The sequence below is a fragment of the Homo sapiens genome, chromosome 10, assembly GCF_000001405.40.
Source record: "Homo sapiens chromosome 10, GRCh38.p14 Primary Assembly".
In the NCBI taxonomy this organism is placed as follows: Eukaryota; Metazoa; Chordata; class Mammalia; order Primates; family Hominidae; genus Homo; species Homo sapiens.
The window spans coordinates 121176540-121198350 of NC_000010.11; the positions used below are offsets into that span (position 1 = coordinate 121176540).

Below are 21811 nucleotides of genomic sequence, written 5' to 3' on the forward strand. Positions count from 1 at the left end.
GCTGGATCTTTTAGATGGTTGATTAGATGCCTCTTTTCATCAGTGACAACTCGAAGTTTTTATGAAAAGTAAATTTCAAAATCTGCTAGAATCACCCTTTCAGGATCAACTCCCAGATAAGTTGTGTTTATTTCACTTTTTTAAACAATTATGATGATAATAAGGTGAGCTGTACTATAGATACCTGAATATATATATATATACACACTTACACACACAACTTTTTTTTTTTTTTTTTTTTTGAGACGGAGTCTTGCTCTGTCACCCAGGCTGGAGTGCAGTGGTGCAATCTCGGTTCCCTGCAACCTCCACTTACTGTGTTCAAGTGATTCTCCTGCCTCAGCCTCCCAAGTAGCTGGGATTACAGGTGCCTGCCACCACGCCCAGCTAATTTTTGTATTTCTAGTAGAGACGAGGTTTCGCCATGTTGTCCAGGCTGGTCTTGAACTCCTGACCTAAAGTGATCCATCCTCCTCAGCCTCCCAAAGTGCTGGGATTGCACATGTGAGCCACAGCACCCAGCCTTGAATATATATTTTTTAAGTCAAAGTTCAGCTATCCTTCAAGGAAATTTGAAAGTCCAAATGTATTTTTGATGATGATGAATTATACTTGGATAAAACCTACCCTCTACTTTTAACTTTTTATTATGGAAGATTTAAATGTCTACAAAAATAGGAAGAGTAGCTTAGTGAACGTGGAGGTACTGTATCAAGCTTCAGAAATTATCAATTTACAGCCAATCCTGTTTACCTATACTCCACATAGCTCTCTCCCCTACTCATATTTTGAAGTAAATCACAGATATTATATCAATTCATCTATAAGCCAGGTGCAGTGGCTCAAGCCTCTAATCTCAGCTACTTGGTAGGCTGAGGTAGAAGGATCACTTCAGGCCAGGAGTTTGAGACCAGTTTGGGCAACATAGTAAGACCCTGTCTCTAATAAATAAATAAAATAAAATTTTAAAAAATTAGCTGGGCATGGTGGCATGTGCCTGTAGTCCCAGCCACCCAGGAGGCTGAAGCAGGAGGATCGCTTGAGCCCAGGAGGTCAAGAATGCAGTGAGCTATGATCACACCACTGAACTCCATCCTGAAGGGCAAACTCTATCTCTAAAACAACAACAGCAAAAGGATTCTGCACAACAATTTATCTATAAATATCTATATATTTATATGTAGATATTATCGATAATATCTACATATTTATATATAGATAATATCTACATATTTATATATAGATATCGATAATATCTATATATTTATATATATTTATATATAGATATTATCGATAATATCTCTCTATATATATTTTTATATAGATATTATCGATAATATCTATATATTTATATATATTTATATATAGATATTATCGATAATATCTATATATTTATATATATTTTATATAGATTTATAGATAATATCTATATATTTATATATATTTTATATAGATTTATAGATAATATCTATATATTTATATATAGATATTATCGATAATATCTATATATTTATATATAGATATTATCGATAATATCTATATATTCATATATATTTATATATAGATATTATAGATAAATATAGATATTTATAGATATTTATAGATAAATATAGATATAAATTTATAAATATATATATTTTTATATATCTATAGATATAATTATAGATCTATAAATATAGATATAGCAATTTATCTATAAATATCCCAATATGTATATCTACAATATAAGGATACTAAAAAATACCTCAATAATACTACCACACCTAATTCTTATATGGTTAAGAATTAACAATTCATTAGTATCTTAATATTGCCAAGTATCTAGACCATATTCCAGTGTTCACATTTCCTTGATTATCTCAAACATTTTTAAATTGTTTGTTCAAAGGTGGTTTCAAATTAGGTCCATACAATGAGACTAAATTGGTCGGTAGTCTGTAAAGGCTTTTTAAAATATATATGCTCCTCCTTATCTCTCTTTTTTATATCTTCGTAACTTTTTTTGTTGAAGAAACTGGGTCACTTATCGTGTAGAATTTCCCATAGTCTGCACTTCGCTGATTCCATCCCTGAGGAATTAACCTGTTCCTCTGGACCCTGTACTTCCCGTAGTTGGCAGTTGGATCTAGGCTCTGGATCAGATTCAAGTCTGATTGCTTTGTAAGACCACCTCATGAGTAGAGCTGTGTTCTTCCATCAGTCAGGTTGCTTCTCTGTTTGTGATGTTTGCAGCCATTGATGATCACTGCCTAGATCCATTAATTCATTAAGGTCTGCAAAAGGACCCTCTCTTCTCCACTCTGTCTCCCAGGTAGGAACCTCTGAAGCTGAGGACGTATTCTTGCTGGCTTCATTATTGTCATCATTCCTCTTCGTGACCTATTACACATTTCTGAAGAGAAACTCCTCTCACCAGCTCCTTTGTTTCCTAAGGTAGGGTTCTTATAGAAACAAGATAAGCTTTCCTCTTTCTTTCATTTACCAATTTTCAAACTAATGAGTTGTACCCTAGCATTCTGCAAGAGTGACCCATGATTTTCCTAGCACCATTTGGAACTCATGGATTAAAACATATTCGATGTGTTTCAATCCCTCTTAGTTTTTATCTTTATTGATGTTGAAATATTTGCCCTGAGGGAGGTTTTGCAAGTTGTCTCCTGAGTCTTTTTGACATGTTTCTTCTAGTCTTTGATAGTTTTTTGGCTTTCAGTTATGACAATTGCTCCAGGCTCACCTTGTTTATTTCCTCCCAGACCTGGAATCCTCCATCTTGCCAAGAAGCTTTGGTTCTGTCCAATAGAACCACAATCTGGGTGATAGGTGTTCCCATTGCTACTGGTTTGGTCATTCTTTCCAGGCCTTTTAAGCGGACAGACCTTGAGAAAAATCTATCAAGTTCATACTGATACTCCTCATTCAAAATCAAGACTGTAAGATTTTACCTAAATTCCTTGATCTTAATCTGCATCCACAAAAATCCCATTTTTCAGTGACACCAATATAATTATTCATTTGCTTTATCCCACACCATACTTAGAACAATAGCAGAATAATAATATAAGCATTAGCACCAAAATATGATTACTAAAAATAGTTTAATTTTTTTTTAAGTTCTTTTTATCCTTAGGGTATATACTCACCAGGGACATGCTGTCAAGTTATCTTATTTAAAAGTCACTTGGAGCAGTTCCTGTCTCTGCTTATGCCATCAGCTCAATCCAGAGTTAGGTTCATTTGTTTCATTTTATCATCAGCTTTTAGAGACTAGCTTTTTAAATTTTAGTGTTATAATTTGGTTTCACAATTATGTAAAACATTTGTATGATTCCAAAACCAAATTTGAAACTCAAAATGTAAGTAACAAGGCTAGCTTTCATCTCTGAACTCTCCACACTATTCCTTTTTTCCTCAAAAATAACTTATTTTAAAAATACATTTTATTCTTCCTTTTTAATACAAGCAAATCATATATGTGATTATATATTTATGTGTGTACATAATATATATATCATATATGTGATTATATACATGATTATATATGTGTGCCTATATGTATGTATATATAATCATACACACAGATACACACACATATATATTCCCTTTCTTTGATAAATAACAGCAGACTATTCTTTTTTCTGCCTTGGATTCACTTAACATGCCTTGGAAGTCACTCCACAGCTATCACAGGGTTCATCCTCATTTCTTTTCATAGCTGCATAGTACATACTCAATCATGTAGCTGTCCTATAGTTTATTTAACCTGTTCCTTACTGGTGGACATTTGGGTTGTTTTCAGTCATCTGCTCTTATAAAAAGTGCTGTGATGAATAGCCTGTGTATCTGTCTTTTCATATTTTTGCCAAGGTATCTTGGCGATTCCTAGAAGTGGCATTGCTGGGTCATAGGCTAAATGCCCATGTGGTTTTGCTAGATAGTGCCAGTCTCCTCCCTGGGATTGTCCCATTTCATATTCCTCCCAGAATTGAATGAGAGGGCCTGTTTCCCCATAGGTCTGCCAATACAGCATGTTGTCAACCTTTGGGGTTTTGACATCCGATAGGTGAGAAATGGTACGTTGGTATAGTTTTTATTTTACATTTATCTTATTATTAATGAAGTTGATTATCTTTTCATACTGTTAAGAGAGATGGCCGGGCATGGTGGCTCACACCTGTAATCCCAGCACCTTGGGAGGCCGAGGCAGGCAAATCACTTGAGGTCAGGAATTCGAGACCAGCCTGACCAACATGGTGAAAGCCCATCTCTACTAAAAATACAAAAATTAGCTGGGCATGGTGGTGGGTGCCTGTAAGCCCAGCTACTCGGGAGGCTGAGGCAGGAGAATTGCTTGAACCTGGGAGGTGGAGGTTGCAGTGAGCCAAGATCGCACCATTGCACTCTAGGCTGGGTGACAGAGTGAGACTCCATCTCAAAAAAAAAAAAAAAAAAAAAAAAAAAGAGAGCGACAGAGAGATATTTGGATTTCTTTTTCTGTCAATTATTTGCTTATATTTCTAACCCATTTTTCTACAGAAAGATTTGCCCTAAGGGGGCAAATATTTGAACATCAATAAATATACTATCCTTAGTATATTTTTCTACAGAATTGTTGTAGTTTTTCTCCTCCATTTTAAGGAGCTTTTTCAAATACATTAGGGCTATTAATAATTTGTCTCTAATATAAGCTGTGAATATTATTTTTCCTAGTTTGTCATTTGTCTTATCTTACTCATGGTGGTTTTTATTTTTTTGTTGTTGTTGATTTTTTTGTCACACGAAGTTTTTTTTATTTCAATACAACCAAATTTTTCAATCTTTTCCCTTACCATGTCTGGATTTGAGCCGTAATTCAGAAAGCTTCACAATCTCCAAGGATAGAAAGCCATTTGCCAATATTTTCTTATTTTTACAGTTTCAGTTTTTATATTTAAATCTCTTGTCTACTTGGAATTTAACCCAGTATATGGAGAAACAGGTCCGATTTTGTTTTTTTTCCAGTTGCTATCTACTTATCCCAACACCCCTTGCAGAGAAGTTCATTCTCCCACCAATTTGCGATGCCACCTTTCTCATCTACAAGTCTCCACGTGCAAGTGGGGCTATTTCTGGGTCTTCTACTTTGCTTTGTCAGTCTGCCTATTCACATGCCAGTATAACCTGTTTTGATAACAGAGGTTTTCCAGTATGTTTGGATGTCTGGTGGGACTTTTTTTTCTTATTGCACTTTCTTTTCAGAGTTTTCTTGGCTTTTTATTCATCCATTCTTCCAAACAAATTTGTCTGCCTTCCAAGTGGAATTTTTGCCAATTGCTCAATTTTCCAAAAACGAATTGACACCTGTTCGACTTCATTGACGACCCAAGTTGGCTGCTTGGTCACAGAGCCTGGAACATAGTAGGTGTTCAAAAAATGTCAATAGACGTGAAGTGCCTGGAGATCTTTGGCTGGAGGTTAGCATACCATCTCAACATCCCACAGCAAATGTTAATCCTAGATGATGATTCTACAAAGAGTTTAATCCCAATTACTTCAGTATAACTGAAAACAAGACTGATTAATAATACTTAAGAATTTTTTAAAAATAGAAAAATAATACCCTTCACATTGGTGTGCCTCCAATGAGGCAGTTTACTAGACTTTGAGGGACTCTTTTCACTCAGTGCTCTTTTAAATGTTTTGAATGTGTGTTACATGCATGGATTGTTTACATAGTCACTCAACAAATTTCATGTCATTCATTAATCCAAGTTACTGCATCTCAGTTAATTCAGGTGGGAAATTTCTTTCTCGTGTACTCTATGCATATGACATTTGGGACACTTGGCATCTGGTGAAGAGGGAACCACAGGCTTCTATCTGGGCTAGCCTGTGGGTGACCAGGTCTGGGCCCAGTATCTTGGCTTTTGCATTGTTTTGTATTTTTTAAGAACATAATGTCCTAGGAAAACAAGGGAAAGAACAGCTCCTTTCTTTAATAAATGATTCAAACGTTGGAAATGGGGAAAAGAAAACATGGCACAAAGGAGCATATTTTCCAGGTTGTGACTTTTCTACTGGAGAAGCCCATGTCAACCAACACAGCCTTGGTTAAGCGTAACCTGCCCTGGTTCTACTGGGCTAATCTGGTGTGCTGGGTTTGGATAATGGACCTGTGTCAAGTGAAGCCAAGAAAATCCAGACTCACTTAAAGGTCCAAATGGAAACGAGAAGTCTCGGAAGCCTCCTCTGTGGATATGCATCTTACCAATAGACGGACTCCTAGGTTTGACCCTGAGCAATCCTCCTCATAAAACAGAAGGACTCAGAGATCAGCAGATGTGTCAAAGGTCCACTGATGGTCTGGGGGTGCTTAGTACTCATCTCACCAATGTATATTCAGACTTAGCAAAATGCTTTTAGTGGAGACCCAGATTGAAACCCTGACTCAGTTTACTAGCTGCAGAAACTTGAGCCTATCTGAGACTCAATCAAGATAATAAAATTAAAAGGAGTAAAGAATATTAGGCACACAAGTGCTCAGAACAGTAGCCAGCATTAACTATCCTTAGTATAATATAGCTTTCAGAACTCTGTCAAAAGTGCTCTTTATTGTAAGAGAAAATGGGGCCCATCTTTACCCCAACTTAAAGCATTATCTAGTCTCATTTCAAGCTTTGAAGAGATGAGTAAACTCTCCTCTCCATTTTCCTCCATGGTCACAATCGATAGTGTTTTCAATTGAGAAGATATGAGTTTACCTAAGTGTGTGTGCAAAAGCCCAGTTGCAAATGGCAATGATGCATTACAGTACTCCATCCATCTGTTCCAAGAGACTGAAAGCTTTCTCTTCCTGGCAGATGGCTGGGATCCTGATACCTACATGCATGAGAAGCCACACCAGAATGCCAGCCGACATTTGCATGCAGAGACGTTGCCTGTGGAGCTGTCTCCAGAAGAGGATGCAGCTGCAGGTACTTGAGGACCACACTCCCCCTCCCAAGCCTAATGTTCCCTACATGGCAGCGCACTGAGCATTGGCAATGCAAAAACCACTTCTCAATTACTCATAATTGAGTTGCAAAAAGAGATTATTCTTTGCTGAAACTTGACTTCTCATCCTGGAAGCAGGTTTTTCTCATTTGGGATGGGAGGGGGGCAAATTATATTAAAATTTGCTGGAAATTTTTGCTTGGAACAAGGCACAAAAATATTCCTTGGAGGTTGCAGATGCCTCAGTTGTCATTCTTTAACAAAATCAGGGCTCTCTTTGTAAAAACAAACACGACCCAGGCATGTTCACTCTTTCTTTGGAATGTATCCATGGTGCTAAATTAGATTTTTTGAATACCCTCACAACTGGCCCCAAGGTTGTGCATGGCTATTGCTGACTCTACAACAGGGGAATTAAAGGCTAAATGTATTCTGCTGACTCCCTGGTTCTCTGCTTATCCAAAGGGCACTGGGATTCATTTTGGAAAATCCTAGAGATTACACACAGGCTTTCTTCCAGGGATAAGTTAAAGAATTTAGGAAACACCCAGGCTTCTGTCTTAACACACTTGAAAAAAAAAACAAAACATATCTTATAAGGTGTCCCAGTGACCCAAAATAGGTAAAACACCTCCCAAGGAAGCACTTTTCTGTAAAATCTGGTTCTTTAACCCCTGTGCCTCTTCTCATTCTCAAAACTGCACAAGAAGCAGCATGCCCAAGGTTCTAGCCCAAATTGACATTGCATTAACACTGTCAAAACATTAATGGAAAGTGTCCCAGGAAGGACTAGAGAGATTTCTTCTACCCCATTGTTGCTGACTCTGACTTCCTGGTTCCATCAAGATTCCAAAGGGGAGGAGAAACTTGATGCTTACCTCGGGGAAATCTCTGAGTATAAAACCTTAACTGAACCTACCGAGATCAGGAAGAGCTCATGTTCAAAAGCTGTCACCCCTCTCCCGGACAGACAGGCTTGCAGGGAGCCCCAGCTCTGTCCACAGGAGCCTTGGCCTGTGACCTGACTCTAGGCTTGGGACCCCCTCTCCAAGAGGTAGGGAGGGCAGACCTCCCAAAGCACAGGGTTTCATCCAGGGCTCTTTATAATTTCTAAGGCTGCCCTCTAAAACCTACTCCTTTGCTTCCCTTTATCTTCCCCTCCATCAATTCCCTTCCCTCCTATTTCCAAAAACCATAACCATAACCAAATTTGGCCTGATTCTTTAACCGATAAACCTAAAAATTCAGAAATCAGGCAGCTCTAACATTCTTGAATTGTGCCTCATGATACTTTAGTTGTTGCTGTTGTCATTTTGTTTGTCAGAAGAATACTTTGCTATGTAGGTGAATTTAAAAAGTGACCCTGGACCATTATATTTCATTATAAAATACAGCGGCATAAGGCCCTCTCCAAAAGACATGCTACAGCTCCTGCCTTGTTGATGTAACCATATAAACCTGTGAGGAGCATGAGCACACATCCAAATAGACATATCTCACATGAACACGCTAAACAGAGACATGGCGCAGAAGCTATGTGGGGCCTTGGGCTGAACCAGCAGTTAGAGCATGCAAAATACCACTACAGACAAACTACAGACAAGTTCTAGAAAGTCCAGTTGATACTACATGAGCAAGCCAGTGAAAAGAAATAATTGCCTGTAGCAACACAGGATACAAAATATATTTTTAGAACAGGGTCTTAAAAGTGTTAGGACATTAAGGATTCTAAGGAAATCTGGTCTGTATCAGTGAAAATAATTTTGAAAACCGAGGAAAATGCTAAAGTCCAATGTAAAGGAAAGGGTGGAAGGGGCAAGTAATTGACAGGTTTCCTGGTGGCCGCGCACCTGCGGAGCACTTACTCACCTCACTCACCTCACTCAGTGCTTTTCCAGGCATGTTTTATTTCCTTTGCAGTCCTCGGCACCCTCCGAATGACCCCTGATAACAGCAATGGCCAGCGTTTCTCTGATGCTCTGCTAATTCCACACGTGACCTCATCTGAGCCTCACAATGACCCTGTGAGGTAAGGATTATTGTCTCCCATTTTACAGAGAAGGAAACTGAGACCCAAGTGGTACTCAAGTGTCCCCTGGATACCTACCAGTAAGTGATACCTTACTGGTAGGTATCCTAAGCTCACTACCAGTAAGGGACACAGCAGAAGCTCCACCCCACTTGGTGACTCTCAGTGACAAGCCCTCCCTACCTGGCCATACCACCTCATGTGGTGTAAAGCTCTGTTGCCAGTATGGAAAACACTCACACGAGTAAAACCAAATATCCACTTGCATTGTCCAAAATGACATCCAGAGTCGAGAGGCCAGGAAATATTCCTAGACACACATAGGTTGTCCATTCTTCATTCAGCAGTTTAGAGACAAAGGCATAATTAGGCCCATCTGTAAATAAAGTGAGTCCCTGACACAGGACACAAATAAAGGGCTTCACTGTCTTTTGTCCACATTTGTATTTTTCTGACAATGTTAGTTTTGTGTTTTGAAATGTATTCATTCTTGGGTCAGCGGGGGAAGGCTGAATTGGAGATTATGAATGCATTATGAATGCATTTGGACTGAGCCTTATCTTTGCTGGAGATTTAGAAATCTGGTTTGTAGTTTGAGGTCTTGGAACACCATTGCGTTTCCAGCACCGTGTCTTTATGTGAACAGGTCTGTCTTTAAGCCAATGACTATTTTGCTCGATTTAAAAGGGGAAAAATAATCTTGAGTAGGACAAAAAACAACGGCCATACATATGATTTGAATTACAGTCAGATAATCACCATTCATGACCTGTCCAAGCTGGAAGGAAAGCTTGAATTTCTCCTCAGAGACATTTCCCGGCTTAACTTTCAACAAGGGCTACAATTGAGTGTGGCCTTTAAGTGAAAACTAAAGAAGTTCAAACTATTTAAGGCCTTTACTGACTTCTCCAGCCTACTATGAAATTAGTCTTTTTGGAAGAAGATCATTTATGAGTTTCATTGGAAGCGGAAAAAAAAAAAAAAAAAAAAGCTCCTTTACTCCTCAACTCCCTCAAAAAACATTCTAAAGAAAGTTTTTTCAAATAAATTTCCCAAGCAACAGCACTGAGCACTGCTCCTCATCTTCTCTGTTTAAGGAACTTATATCAAAATCTGAACGTGTACTCTCTGAAGGTTTTCTTCCCCCATTGGATTCCAAGACGACTAGAAGTTCATCCTAACCTGTGAACATCTGGGAGTTGTTCGGCACACAAAAAGCTATGGGGTAAACAGTATATTCTGTGACTCAAAATCCTAACAACATACATGCTTCCTCCAGCCACAGTTTCTTCTCAGAAGCTCAGTTACCTTTCAGAGAAAAGGAATGAAAACCAAAGATCCATCTGCAATGGATGGCATCGGGCAAGAAGCCTCGCAACAGTGCTTGTTTTGTGGGCAGCACAGTTTTGGGCTGTGGCAGAATCATCTGGGGAACTGAAAAAAATATCCCAGTGCCCAGGCCGTATCCAGGCCAGTCACATCTAAATCTCTGGGGATTCCATTGTCCTAGGGAACAGGTTCTGGGCTCTGGAGTCAGAAAAGTCTGGTTCCTATCTTAATTTTCCTGCTTACTGTTTTTCAGACAAGTTACTTAACCCCTCTGAGCTTAGGTTTCCCCTTATTTAAAAGGAAAAAAAAAAGCTAAAGATCTCCACTTTATGAGACAAAAATGAGACATAATATTGGTGAACATACTGTCTGGCTTTAAGTGATCTGTAAATGTGTGATAACTTAATGTTTAGAAAGTTACCAATGTTTTCTCCCAGAATTTCCTTCTCCTATCCTCAATCTTTGCCTTTCCTGCAAAAGCGTACATAATTTGAGGAAGGAAAGGGGATAATGATACAGATAGAAGATTAAGGAGGACATATCATGAATAGAATAGAATTATGTTCCCTCAAGAATAGAATAGGACCTCCTGAGGACCAGGGGGGGCCAGATAAGCAGGTAAAAGTCAGCAGGATGCAAGGATAAAGTCCCCAACCTAGACTCCTGATCAAGTCCTAAGAAGGAATCAATTCCCAGTTAAGCTTGTGGGATCCAACAGCAGGGGACACCTGTGACTCATTTTCTAGGACTAGCTCCAAAAGGAAAAAAAAAAAGTGTGGAATTTCTAGGTAGATAGGGACTTAGCCTCATAAGTTTTCTATTCTTCAAATGCCTTACAAGCCACAAAATGATCCCTTTGCAGTATGAAAGCAGCAGAGAGCCCCTGGACCTGAGGTAGCCTTGCAGATGAGAATTCAGGTAAAGGAGCTAAGGCTACAACGACTGTTGACCAAGAGCCAGCCCAAATGAGGAAGGAATTAGCGGGTACTAGTGTGGAGAGATGGCATCAAGGAATGAACATGCCCACCTACACCCCCTGGGCTAGTGCTCCCTCATCAGCTCCTTAGACAAATTCCAGGGTAAATTAGATGAACCTGAACAGGGAAAAGTAAAGAAGCTGTATCTCTCACACTCAGTGTTGTGACCTGAGCCTCATACCTGAGGCTCGAGCTATCAGTGTTATGGTTGTTTTTTTTCCTCAACAATTTTCGGGTTATGATGCCTCCATTGTGCAATAGGCCTCAAGAGAGGAGATTTACATAATCGTCGTGGAAGAGTCAGAGAAAACAAAATGGACAAGAGGAATTGTTCCTGCCACATGAGGGCCTCACAGCTGAACTGCAATAAATCAGCTCAGCAGCCACTGAGTCCTTTTATGGTCTCTCGTAGAACTAAGATCCAAGATAACTACGCTAAGCCTAGCTCCTAACAAGCCCTCCCAGCAAGATAAAGAATGAGTATCTGGTCAACCAAAGAGGTAATTCTGATTACAAAACAACAACTAGGCTTTCTGGTTCTTTCCCCTCAACTGATGTATTTGATCAAACCACATAGTTCTAACCAATAACCTGGGGCTCTCTGATGGGCCCTGCTTCCAGGCTTAGGGTATGTCTTACCATAATGTATAAAATAAAGTTGCATACTGAAGTTAACAACTTCTGAAATACAGCTATAACAATTATGTGATTATTACGTTACCTCGAATTAACATATGGCCCATAATCTTTTGATATTACAAAACTTGATTGTGCCATGAGATCTAACGGGTTTCATTTAATAGGAAGAGTTATTTGGTAATGTTACATACCAGTTCATTGTTCAAAACATTTATGGGGATTTAACGCTATGAAGCAGATAAACGAGTGTTCCCCAGCTGCTAAATCTCACTTCATATATTTTAAACAATCCACCGTACTGGCGATTTCTGAAATGTGAAAAGATGTCATATCCAATGCACGTTTTAAAAATGTTACTTCTGAAGCTGCATCTGCTTCACATCGCCTGTTCAAAGTTTTCCATTTTCCTCCGGGGTTACTTAATGATCATATTAGAATGGACAAAAGTCAAAGACTGCGTCCATTATCTGAAATGTAGGCCTTGATATTGTACACTTAGCTAATTTAAAAAAAGAGAGAGACAGAGAGATCTGAAACACTGGAAAACGTGTCAACCAGGCAGTGAAGCTGTGAGGATTAACAAAGTCAAATTTACAAAGTAAAATCAGGTTCTCACATGAAAGAGGGAGGCGTGGAGGAACTGTTAAAGCTATATTATTACTCTAAAGTGACTGGGTCACCCACTGGACTTTGTGCAATTTTTCAAGCTGTTCTGAAATGACGAATATGGCATGTAGTATATAATACACTGAAATGTGTTGAAACTTTGGATAACATTCCCGGTTTAATATTTAAAACACTTGGTCAGCGAGAACACACTACAGAGCCATTTCACCGCTCCGTGCATTGCACTTTCACAATCTCCCATCTCATTTCATTCCACGAGTTTGGAAATCTTGCCTCCCTCCCTAGGTTTCAAACAGCCCCCTGTCTTGCCAGCTTATTTTACAAAAAAGAAAATTAAAGCAAACCATCAATGAGAACATAGTTCTATGAAACAAAGAGAATGGTGCTGTGTTTGACATCCTTACTGGTCTCCCAGAATTTGTTCTGTGTTTTGGTTAGCTGAATATGCTTGGCGCCCCAGGAGTCTGGCAGCATGGTTAATATCATGAATAAAAAAAGGATTTAAAAAATTCAGTTTGTATTTGGGGCTCTTTTTGAGAAAAAAGAATGGATTACATAAGCAGATGCTTGAGATAGCTATTGTTCTTTTTTTTTTTTTTTTTTTTTTTTTTTTGAGACAGAGTCTCACTCTGGGTGCAATCTCAGCTCACTGCAAGCTCTGCCTCCCAGGTTCATGCCATTCTCCTGTCTCAGCCTCCCGAGTAGCCAGAACTACAGGCACCTGCCACCACGCCCGGCTAATTTTGTGTATTTTTTAGTAGAGACGGGGTTTCACCGTGTTAGGCAGGATGGTCTTGATTTCCTGACCTCGTGATCCACCTGCCTCGGTCTCCCAAAGTGCTGGGATTACAGGCGTGAGCCACTGCGCCTCGCCAATAGTTATTGTTCTTTTGCAATTATACACCATGTGTGCCCCAAGAAGCCTATGCCTCTTTAGAAGCAACAAAATGAAGGCGATGTCAACATATCCGAAAGCAAAGAGGCCACCTGGCAATTAGCCAGCTAATTTGACCAATGTAAATAATGAACTGGCATAACTTACACTCTAAAAATAGTTTGGAATAACTGCAGACTGTGGTCAACCTCCCAAATATTATGGAATGCAAGTAGAATTTCTAGAGCCTGAATTTTAAAGATGGCAGCTTAAAGAAGTATTTGAGACCCTTCAAGCAACAATTGGATTTTCATTTGAATGAATGACGTGAAGTAACTATTCTAAAGCAATGGATAATATTGGCTAAAAGGCAAGATGTTTTTAATTAAAGAACAGTAAGAGATAGTAAATGAAGAAAAAAATCTGCCTACCTGGGGAAGAAGTTCAACAAGCAGTGATTGAAAGAATGAATTCATTTTTTTCAATATAAGCTCTTTAGAATCAGTTCATGAGGCCCAGAGAAAAAAATTGGCCACCATCTATTTTTACTTAAAACTTCATTACCCAAGCTGATGACCACCTCATTCACCCAGTTTTGTTCCTTGTGATTTCTGGTAGGTCACCCAAAATCCAATGCGCCATCACAGAGCTGTGCTGTGTTCCCAATAAGGTTGGTTTTAACATCATAGATTCTGAGGATAATTCTCAAAAAGAAAGGGCTACATCTATAGAATAAGTGAGGCTTTGTCACAGGTTACAATTTGGAGGAGGTCAAAATTCTTTGGTTTATACTTTTAGAGTCATATCTCACTAATTTACCAATGAATAAAACTATCAGGTGATGGTATTCTCTTTGTAAAGGGAAACTCTCCCTCTTTCTTTTCCTGACTCATGGCACTGTTGTTAGCAAAGTATGGTCCGTACACACAGAGCAAACATGCATCCCGCCTTCTTGCTGACCAAGTTACACAGTCTACATGCTTCATCCATCCACAGCCCAAAACAGGCCATGTTTCCCAAGCCATGTGACCTGGGTAAAGGGCTGGGTATTACAGAAAGTGTAAGAATGTGTGGGGGGTGTATTCAATTGAATATTTTGAAAGTTGATATATGTGGTTGAGAAGAAAAACCAAGCAATACAAAAATTTTACAAGGAGGAAGACAATATTGTAAAGAGAATTGTTTACTAAAAATTTTTAAGCAGAAGCCTTTTTAAAAATTAAGTCTTGCTGGGTGCGGTGGCTCACGCCTGTAATCTCAGCACTTTGGGAGGCCGAGGTGGGTGGATCACGAGGTCAGGAGATGGAGACTATCCTGGCCAACATGGTGAAACCCCATTTCTACTAAAAATACAAAAATTAGCTGAGCATGATGGCACGCGCCTGTAATCCTAGCTACTCGGGAGGCTGAGGCAGGAGAATCACTTGAGCCAGGGAGTCAGAGGTTGCCTTGAGCCAGGATCATGCCACTGCACTCCAGCCTGGCGAAAGAGAGACTCCATCTCAAAAAAAAAAAAAAAAAATTAAGTCTTAGAGGAGCCCCAGTATTGATCACATACAAAAGTGAAATTGCTTGATCCAGTTGGCTTTGGTCAGGGATAGGGGCCACACATATCCTTCAAATCGTTGTTTCAAACCACTTAAACCACTTTATTTTGCCAAAGATTTGTTTCCCTGGTAAATAAGATAGCCTCTGAACTTGCTTGATAGTTGACCCAATGATATCTCATTAGCCTTGGTAATAATTAGTGGTCTAAAGTGTTCTACCTCGTAAAGTGCTATAGCATTTAAATGCTTGCATGGAGCTTTAAACTTCCCCTTAGAAAAACTGATTTAGAAAAACTCACTGTGTTATTTCCCTCATATAAAGTTTCACAGTTTAAAGTGTTTTTTTTTGTTTGTTTGTTTTGAGATGGAGTCGTGCTCTGTCACCAGGCTGGAGTGCAGTGGCATGATCTCAGCTCACTGCAACCTCTGCCTCCTGGGTTCAAATGATTCTCATGCCTCGGACTCCTGAGTAGCTGGGATTACAGGCACGCACCACCACACCCAGCTAATTTTTGTATTTTTAGTAGAGACGGCAGGTGGATCATGAGGTCAGGGAATCAATCGTTTTTAGGCAGAAAAAAAGAGGACAATCAATTAAAACCCAAGATGGAACCATTCCCCTGGAATTCTAGCTTCTGGCTCTGCCTATGAATTGGACCGTTCACCAAAAATGAAATTTTTACAACAGAGATGAGCCTTTCATTTGCTCCTAGTTGAAGCTGCAAATCCCTTGTGCCAAGTATTTTGCTGGTGTCAATTAAGGCAGGCTTCTCAGATTGCCACAGGGAAATCACAATAATATCATACTCTCTTCAGAAATAACATTTAGGATTTTTGTTAGGGAAACAATCAAATAAAGCCCTGACAAAATTGTTTCTAGGGGAAAACATGCCTGTAAGGGATGTCTTTGGAAATGATTACAAGCTTGAGTTATAACCAGGTCACTGAAAGGGATGGCCAAGAGGAGCTCCTTAGTGATAACCAAGAGGTTCAATGGAAATTAGGGATCTGAAGACCTCACTAGTAACCTGTACAATCTAGAATTGTTCGTGATTAACTAGGAGATGACTGAAGATGCACCCTCTGGGAATTCAGTGAACAAACCAAAGCTCTGGACTTTATTTTTAAAAGGTTTTCTGGGCCGGGCTCGGTGGCTCACACCTGTAATCCCAACACTTTGGGAGGCTGAGGCGGGTGCATCACAAGGTCAGGAGTTTCAGAACAGCCTGACCAACATGGTGAAACCCCGTCTCTACTAAAAATTCAAAAATTAGCTGGGCGTGTTGGTGCGCACCTGTAATCTCAGCTGCTCGAGAGGCTGAGGCAGGAGAATCGCTTGAACCCAGGAGGTGGAGGTTGCAGTGAGCCAAGATGGCGCCACTGCACTCCAGCGTGGGCGACAGAGCGAGACTCTGTCTCAGGAAAAAAAAAAAAGATTTTCTGTGGAATGTTAAATGCGATTTCTCCCTCCTTCTACTGCAATATCATAAATACCTTTGGTAATTTGGGAAGAGAAAGGGTGATGAATCACTCCAGGTCCAATCCAGCACAACTATGGAGATGTCAACAAATGGCCATGAAGAGGCAGACAGGAATCAGGATGGGCTGTGCTTTGTGATAGCACCATTCACGGTTTTGCCTAAGATCCATCTCCTAGAGGGGGCTGTGCCTGGCCAGTGATCTTCTTGTTGCAGCCAAGGGTAGAGACATTGGTTAGCATCTCAGCAAGTTTTCACGTTGGGCTGCTTTCAAAATGGCAGAAAGAGGAGAGAAATGCATTGTAGCAAATCTTACCATAATATTCCATGCAGTCAATGCAACCAGGGAATTTGCTTTTCCCTTCAGTAACAACATTTATTTTACAGGTTACAAGGACTCAAGCATTTCTTTCAAGGTTTTGAGAGGAAAAGATAAAATTAATTCTTGAGTCATTAAGGGCAAGGAACTTGGTAGAGACAGAACTCCTTGAGTCTTCATTACAAGCATCAAACAGTGGATTTACCAATTAGCTTCATTCTCCCAGATGAGCTGGGAACAGGGTGGGTCCAAGGAGTTCATCCATATCTTCTCCTCTGGTCCACTGTAACAAATAAATTCACAAGAGACCTGGAATACGTGTTGGCCTTGCAAGGAGTCTGCTTCAACCCAGTAACCCATCAGCCATAAACAGGAGACCTAGGAATGAGTCCAGTATACATGAAGCCCACTGGGCCTACTACTGTGATTGCATGCTTTCCTAAGAAGATAATAGTAATCTCATTGGCCAGAAAATGTGAAAAATAAGGAGACAGGTATCTGCTTGGACTGGCCGTGGATCTATGACAGCATTTATTTTAAAACATAGTAATTATTTGTATATGCGTCTGTCTTCCTCAATAGACCATGTAGTCCTAAGAAAAAAGCAAACATTTCAGCATCTAGCACAATTCTTGGCACATGGTTGAGCTACAATAAATGTTTTTCCAAAAAGTAATAATTTCTGTCTAGACTAAAAGACTGTGGACAACATAACCTCTTAAAATTTCTTTTCAGCCACCAAATTCAATGATGAATGGTTGAGAGAACAGGATAGATCTTATGTTTACTACATCTCTGTAAATCAAGTTCACATCAATAAAAATAGGTCTAACCAAACTCAATCACAGAATTGTCACCTGAGTCTTACTTGAATGGCTGTGTGATTTACTTGCCTGGCCAAGTCAAGGCTGGAGTGTAATATTCTATGCTCCATTGTGTTTTGATGGGGGCTTTTAAGGGCTGCAACAGGCTTTTTTTTTTTTTTTTACGGGGAGTTGGGGCATGGGGGGGACAAGGTCTCACTTTGTTGCTCAGGCTAGAGTGCAGTAGCACAATCATGACTCACTGCAGCCTCAACCTCCTGGGTTCAAGCGATCCTCGCACCTCAGCCTCCTGAGTTGTTAAAGCTACAGGTACATGCCACCATGCCCGGCTAATTTTTTTATGTTTTTGTAGAGACAAAGTCTCGCTATATTGTACAGGCTGATCTTGAACTCCTGGCCTCAAGCGATCCTCCTGCCTTGGCCATCCAAAGTGCTGGGATTACAGGCATGAGCCACCATGCCCGGCCACAACAGTCATTTTTAAAGGTAGCTTCCTCCATTTTCCCTGCGTGACACTGGGCTTTTCATAACAGAGCACTTGGAATTAGAGCCCAGATGTCAGAAGACATGAAACTGTGGGCTTCCATGCTTCTTTAAGGGACCATGCCTAAAAAAATCCTCCTGGGCCCCAGTGGCCTCTTTCCTTTGCTAAGGATTAGTCTAGAATGTAGGGTTTGGACAAATGGGTCTGGGCAGTGCTCCTGCTCTGGGCATTGCCTCGGGAACAGTTTCCCAGCTTGGCTTCCACAGGGCTACACAAAGACCACTTTTGTCTTTGTCAGTTACCTGCCTCACTTGTGGTTCTACTCTCCCTCCCCGCATTCTTGGCTCCTGGGCAGCAGAACCTCACATTCATCACACCTCTGTGGTCTGTCTCAAGTGGGCTGGGTTTTTGGTTTTGGCCTTTTTGTTTGTTTGATTGGGAGGTTTTTGGCGTATTGAGAAGACAAGTTTTGCCCTTTGGACTCCCCATCATTCCTGATAGCACACTGCTAGGGAGGCTGGTGACACTGCTCCACAGAGCAGAGAAGCCCTGGCCCCCAAGAATCCATTCGGCCCACGAGGATGGGACTGGGCTCAGGCATGCTGTCTGCCCCAGGCAGGTAGACAGAGGCTGCCCACCCTGGGCATCAGATTCAGCCGCCTGCAGGAAGCCTCGCCAGCATGCACAGGCCTGCCTTGGGGCTGAGCCCAGGCAGTTGAGGGAGGCCAGGGGAGAGATGGCTGTTGGCAGAAGGTAAGACCAGCCCACGGAGGAGATGTGGTCCTGTCTGGCCTTCTGGGGGAAGCAGAAAGGAGACATCTGTGGGCTTTCACTGGGCTCTCCAAGACCCAGAAACTTGTAAGGATGTTATCGGAAATGATTACGAGCTTGAGCTATGACCAGGTCGTGGAAAGGGAAGCGTGCAGGAGCAGCAGGCACCTGGGAGTGCGTGAGGAGGAGTAGGACTCCTGGCCCAGGCATCTATGTGCTCCCACGCAGCGGCTTGGGCTTAGGGCTTTTCACCAAAGTGGCAATAAAATAAACTCTTACAATGTGTTGGATTGACTTCAGGTATTGTCCCTGGACTCCTGGCCACATCCCCTAGATCAATACATCAGAGTAATCCAGCCGGAGTCATTTAAATATATCAACAGTGGCTTCCTGGAGCCAGTTTCCCCAGTCAAAAGTGATTTTCAAGACGTTTGGGGCAGGTTGTCATTGGAATATGGTTTTACAAGCCAAATTACTCGCTCCTAGAGTCTATGGAAAAGTGTTCCCCTTTAAGTAAACTTCCTTTCTTCGTTTAAGACCCTGGGGAAAAATAACAATTCAAAAGATTTTTTTCTAAGTTCTTTCTACATTGAAGGTTTTTATTGCCAAAAACCATTTGCTGTGTGCAAAGTACTGTGAAAGGTGCAGGGCGCCTTATCTAGATGCTATCTGGCAGACTGGTTGCTGCAGGATAAAAAGACTATTTTCCATTTAACTTCAAGAGTTGGTCCAGCCTATGTTGCAGGAGATAAAGGCTGAAGGACAATAGAACTAGCCAGGGTTGAGGGAGTCAAGATAAAAGCAAAGGGTTTCAGCAGTTTGCCCAGATTCTTGGAAATACTAAAAGCCCAATCATCTGACGTAAGTTCAGAATTTCTTTTACATATTCTGCATCTATTATTTTGTTTAAATTTCTCATTATTCAATTTATCCCAAGTTCATATCCACCTTAGGCACTCTTCTAGGATTCCTCCCTTTTCTCTGTTCACCCAAGCTTCCTCCATCTTTCTAGGTTCCCTCAACACTCTTAAAAATTAGGAGACCTGGCTGAGTGCTGTGGTTCACACCTGTAATCCTAGTACTTTGGGAGGCTGAGGCAGGTGGATCACGAGGTCAGGAGTTCGAGACCACCCTGACCAATATGGTAAAACCCTGTCTACTAAAAATACAAAAATTAGACAGGCGTGGTGGCACACGCCTGTAATCCCAGATACTCGGGAGGCTGAGGCAGGAGAATTGCTTGAACCCAGGAGGCAGAGGTTGCAGGGAGCCAAGATCACACCACTGCACTCCAGCCTGGGCAACAATGCGAGACTCGGTCTCAAAAAAAAAAAAAAAAAAAAAAAAAATTGGAAACCTTGGAATCCCAGCCGTGGCACTGGCCAGCACATGCCTTTGGAGGAGTTGCTTTCACCCTCTGAGGCTCATCTATAAGATGGGTCCATCAGCTCTGGCCTTGCAAGGAATTATGAGGCCAAGAAAGAAAAAGGAATATCACAGTGCTCTGGAGACTCTAGTGTGACACAGATGCAAACAACCACATCTTCTCCTTCAGACCCAGGAGACAAACGTCTGTACCACTTCATGATGAGCCCAACCACTTACACTGGCATTTACATTCCTTCTTGGGGGAGAATATTTGGTATTTGGTTTCTCTCTATTATGAGGTTTTATGGGTAAGGAAGAATTATCAGGACACAAAAATATTCACAAATGAGCACACAAAATGGACTACACAATTAGAAAACATATATCACTGCATTATCGTTTATATATAATGATGACATTATTATTCAATTAGAACGGTTCAAATCAGAGCCATAGTCACTGATAAGTGAGAAAATGGTAGAATAGGACCAGTTAGCAATTAAAGAAAGGAAGAAATAAGCACCAAGAAGGTTGACACACAGGCTTGCTGGAAACAGAGATGACCGCAGCAAAGGATGAGAGGGTCCCAGGAGGAAGTGAAAATGGCCTCAGATATTTTTGCCAAAATGATCTTCATTACCTATTGCTCTGAAAGTCATACATGAAGGGAAAGATAATGGCCCTACAAAACAATTCTGTCAGAAAAAAAGGATGCCTCAAATGCCCCAACACTTGATTCATTCTCTGTTCAGACTAAAACATCAGCACACTGTTGCGCTATAACCTATATTCTGCTTATTCTGAAATAAACCTGCTTTCGTCATTTTTATTGGTTTTTCACTATGTAAAACAGCAATTCTGGTCTTGATGTTAAGATGTTTTACCCTTTCTAGAACCAAATATCCTCAGATAATGAGGATCTGCAAACACCTGCCTCCTCCAGTGCATGGTGTGTCCATCAAGACAACAGCCCCAATCCAGCTGTTACTGAAGTCCACAAAACAGGAAGGAAAAAGCCACTGTAATTCAATTCCGGAAACCCCCATGGTTGTACCTTGTAAATATTCAATAAATGATTATTTTTTATGATCTTTGAAGAATACAATGCTACCATGTACAAGTAAAGATTTTTTTTTTCAAATTGTTCACTTGTTATAAAGAGGAAATGGGCCAGGTGCAGTGGCTCACATCTGTAATCCCAGCACTTTGGTAGGCCGAGGTGGGTGGATCACGAGGACAGGAGATAGAGACCATCCTGGCCAACATGGTGAAACCCCATCTCTACTAAAAATACAAATATTAGCTGGGTGTGGTGGCGCGCACCTGTAGTCTCAGCTACTCGGGAGGCTGAGGCAGAAGAATTGCTTGAACTGGGGAGGCGGAGGTTGCAGTGAGCCAAGATTGCACCATTGCACTCCAGCCTGGCGACAGAGCAAGACTCCATCTAAAAAAAAAAAAAAAGACATGAATTATTTCAGTGGGAAGAGAATTATGGTCCCCAACTATCACAGACTGGTGCTTTCTGTGGAATAAGCAATTCATGAATTTGGGGGCTGTCTGCCTTTAAAGTCTAGGG

At 40.7% G+C, this 21811-nt stretch overlaps 3 long non-coding RNA genes across 4 annotated transcripts in view; 1 reads left to right on the plus strand and 2 right to left on the minus strand.

Moving 5' to 3' along the window:
- Positions 1-9005, minus strand: part of LOC124902515 (uncharacterized) — a 66678-nt gene extending 57673 nt beyond the window's left edge. Inside the window, exon 1 of one of the 2 annotated variants that reach the window (XR_007062318.1) lies at positions 8848-9005. This is a non-coding gene — a long non-coding RNA (uncharacterized LOC124902515). Of the gene's footprint in view, positions 1-8838 lie in introns of both variants that reach the window. The other variant, XR_007062317.1, reaches the window with a different exon arrangement.
- Positions 1998-9427, plus strand: LINC01153 (long intergenic non-protein coding RNA 1153). The gene is made up of 2 exons (XR_246197.3): positions 1998-2433; positions 6837-9427. It is a non-coding gene; the product is annotated as a long intergenic non-protein coding RNA 1153 (long non-coding RNA).
- Positions 9428-16819: 7392 nt separating this feature from the next.
- LOC105378523 (uncharacterized) overlaps positions 16820-21811 on the minus strand; it is a 129587-nt gene continuing 124595 nt past the window's right edge. Inside the window, exon 2 of the long non-coding RNA XR_007062321.1 lies at positions 16820-17071. This is a non-coding gene — a long non-coding RNA (uncharacterized LOC105378523). The remainder of the gene's footprint in view (positions 17072-21811) is intronic.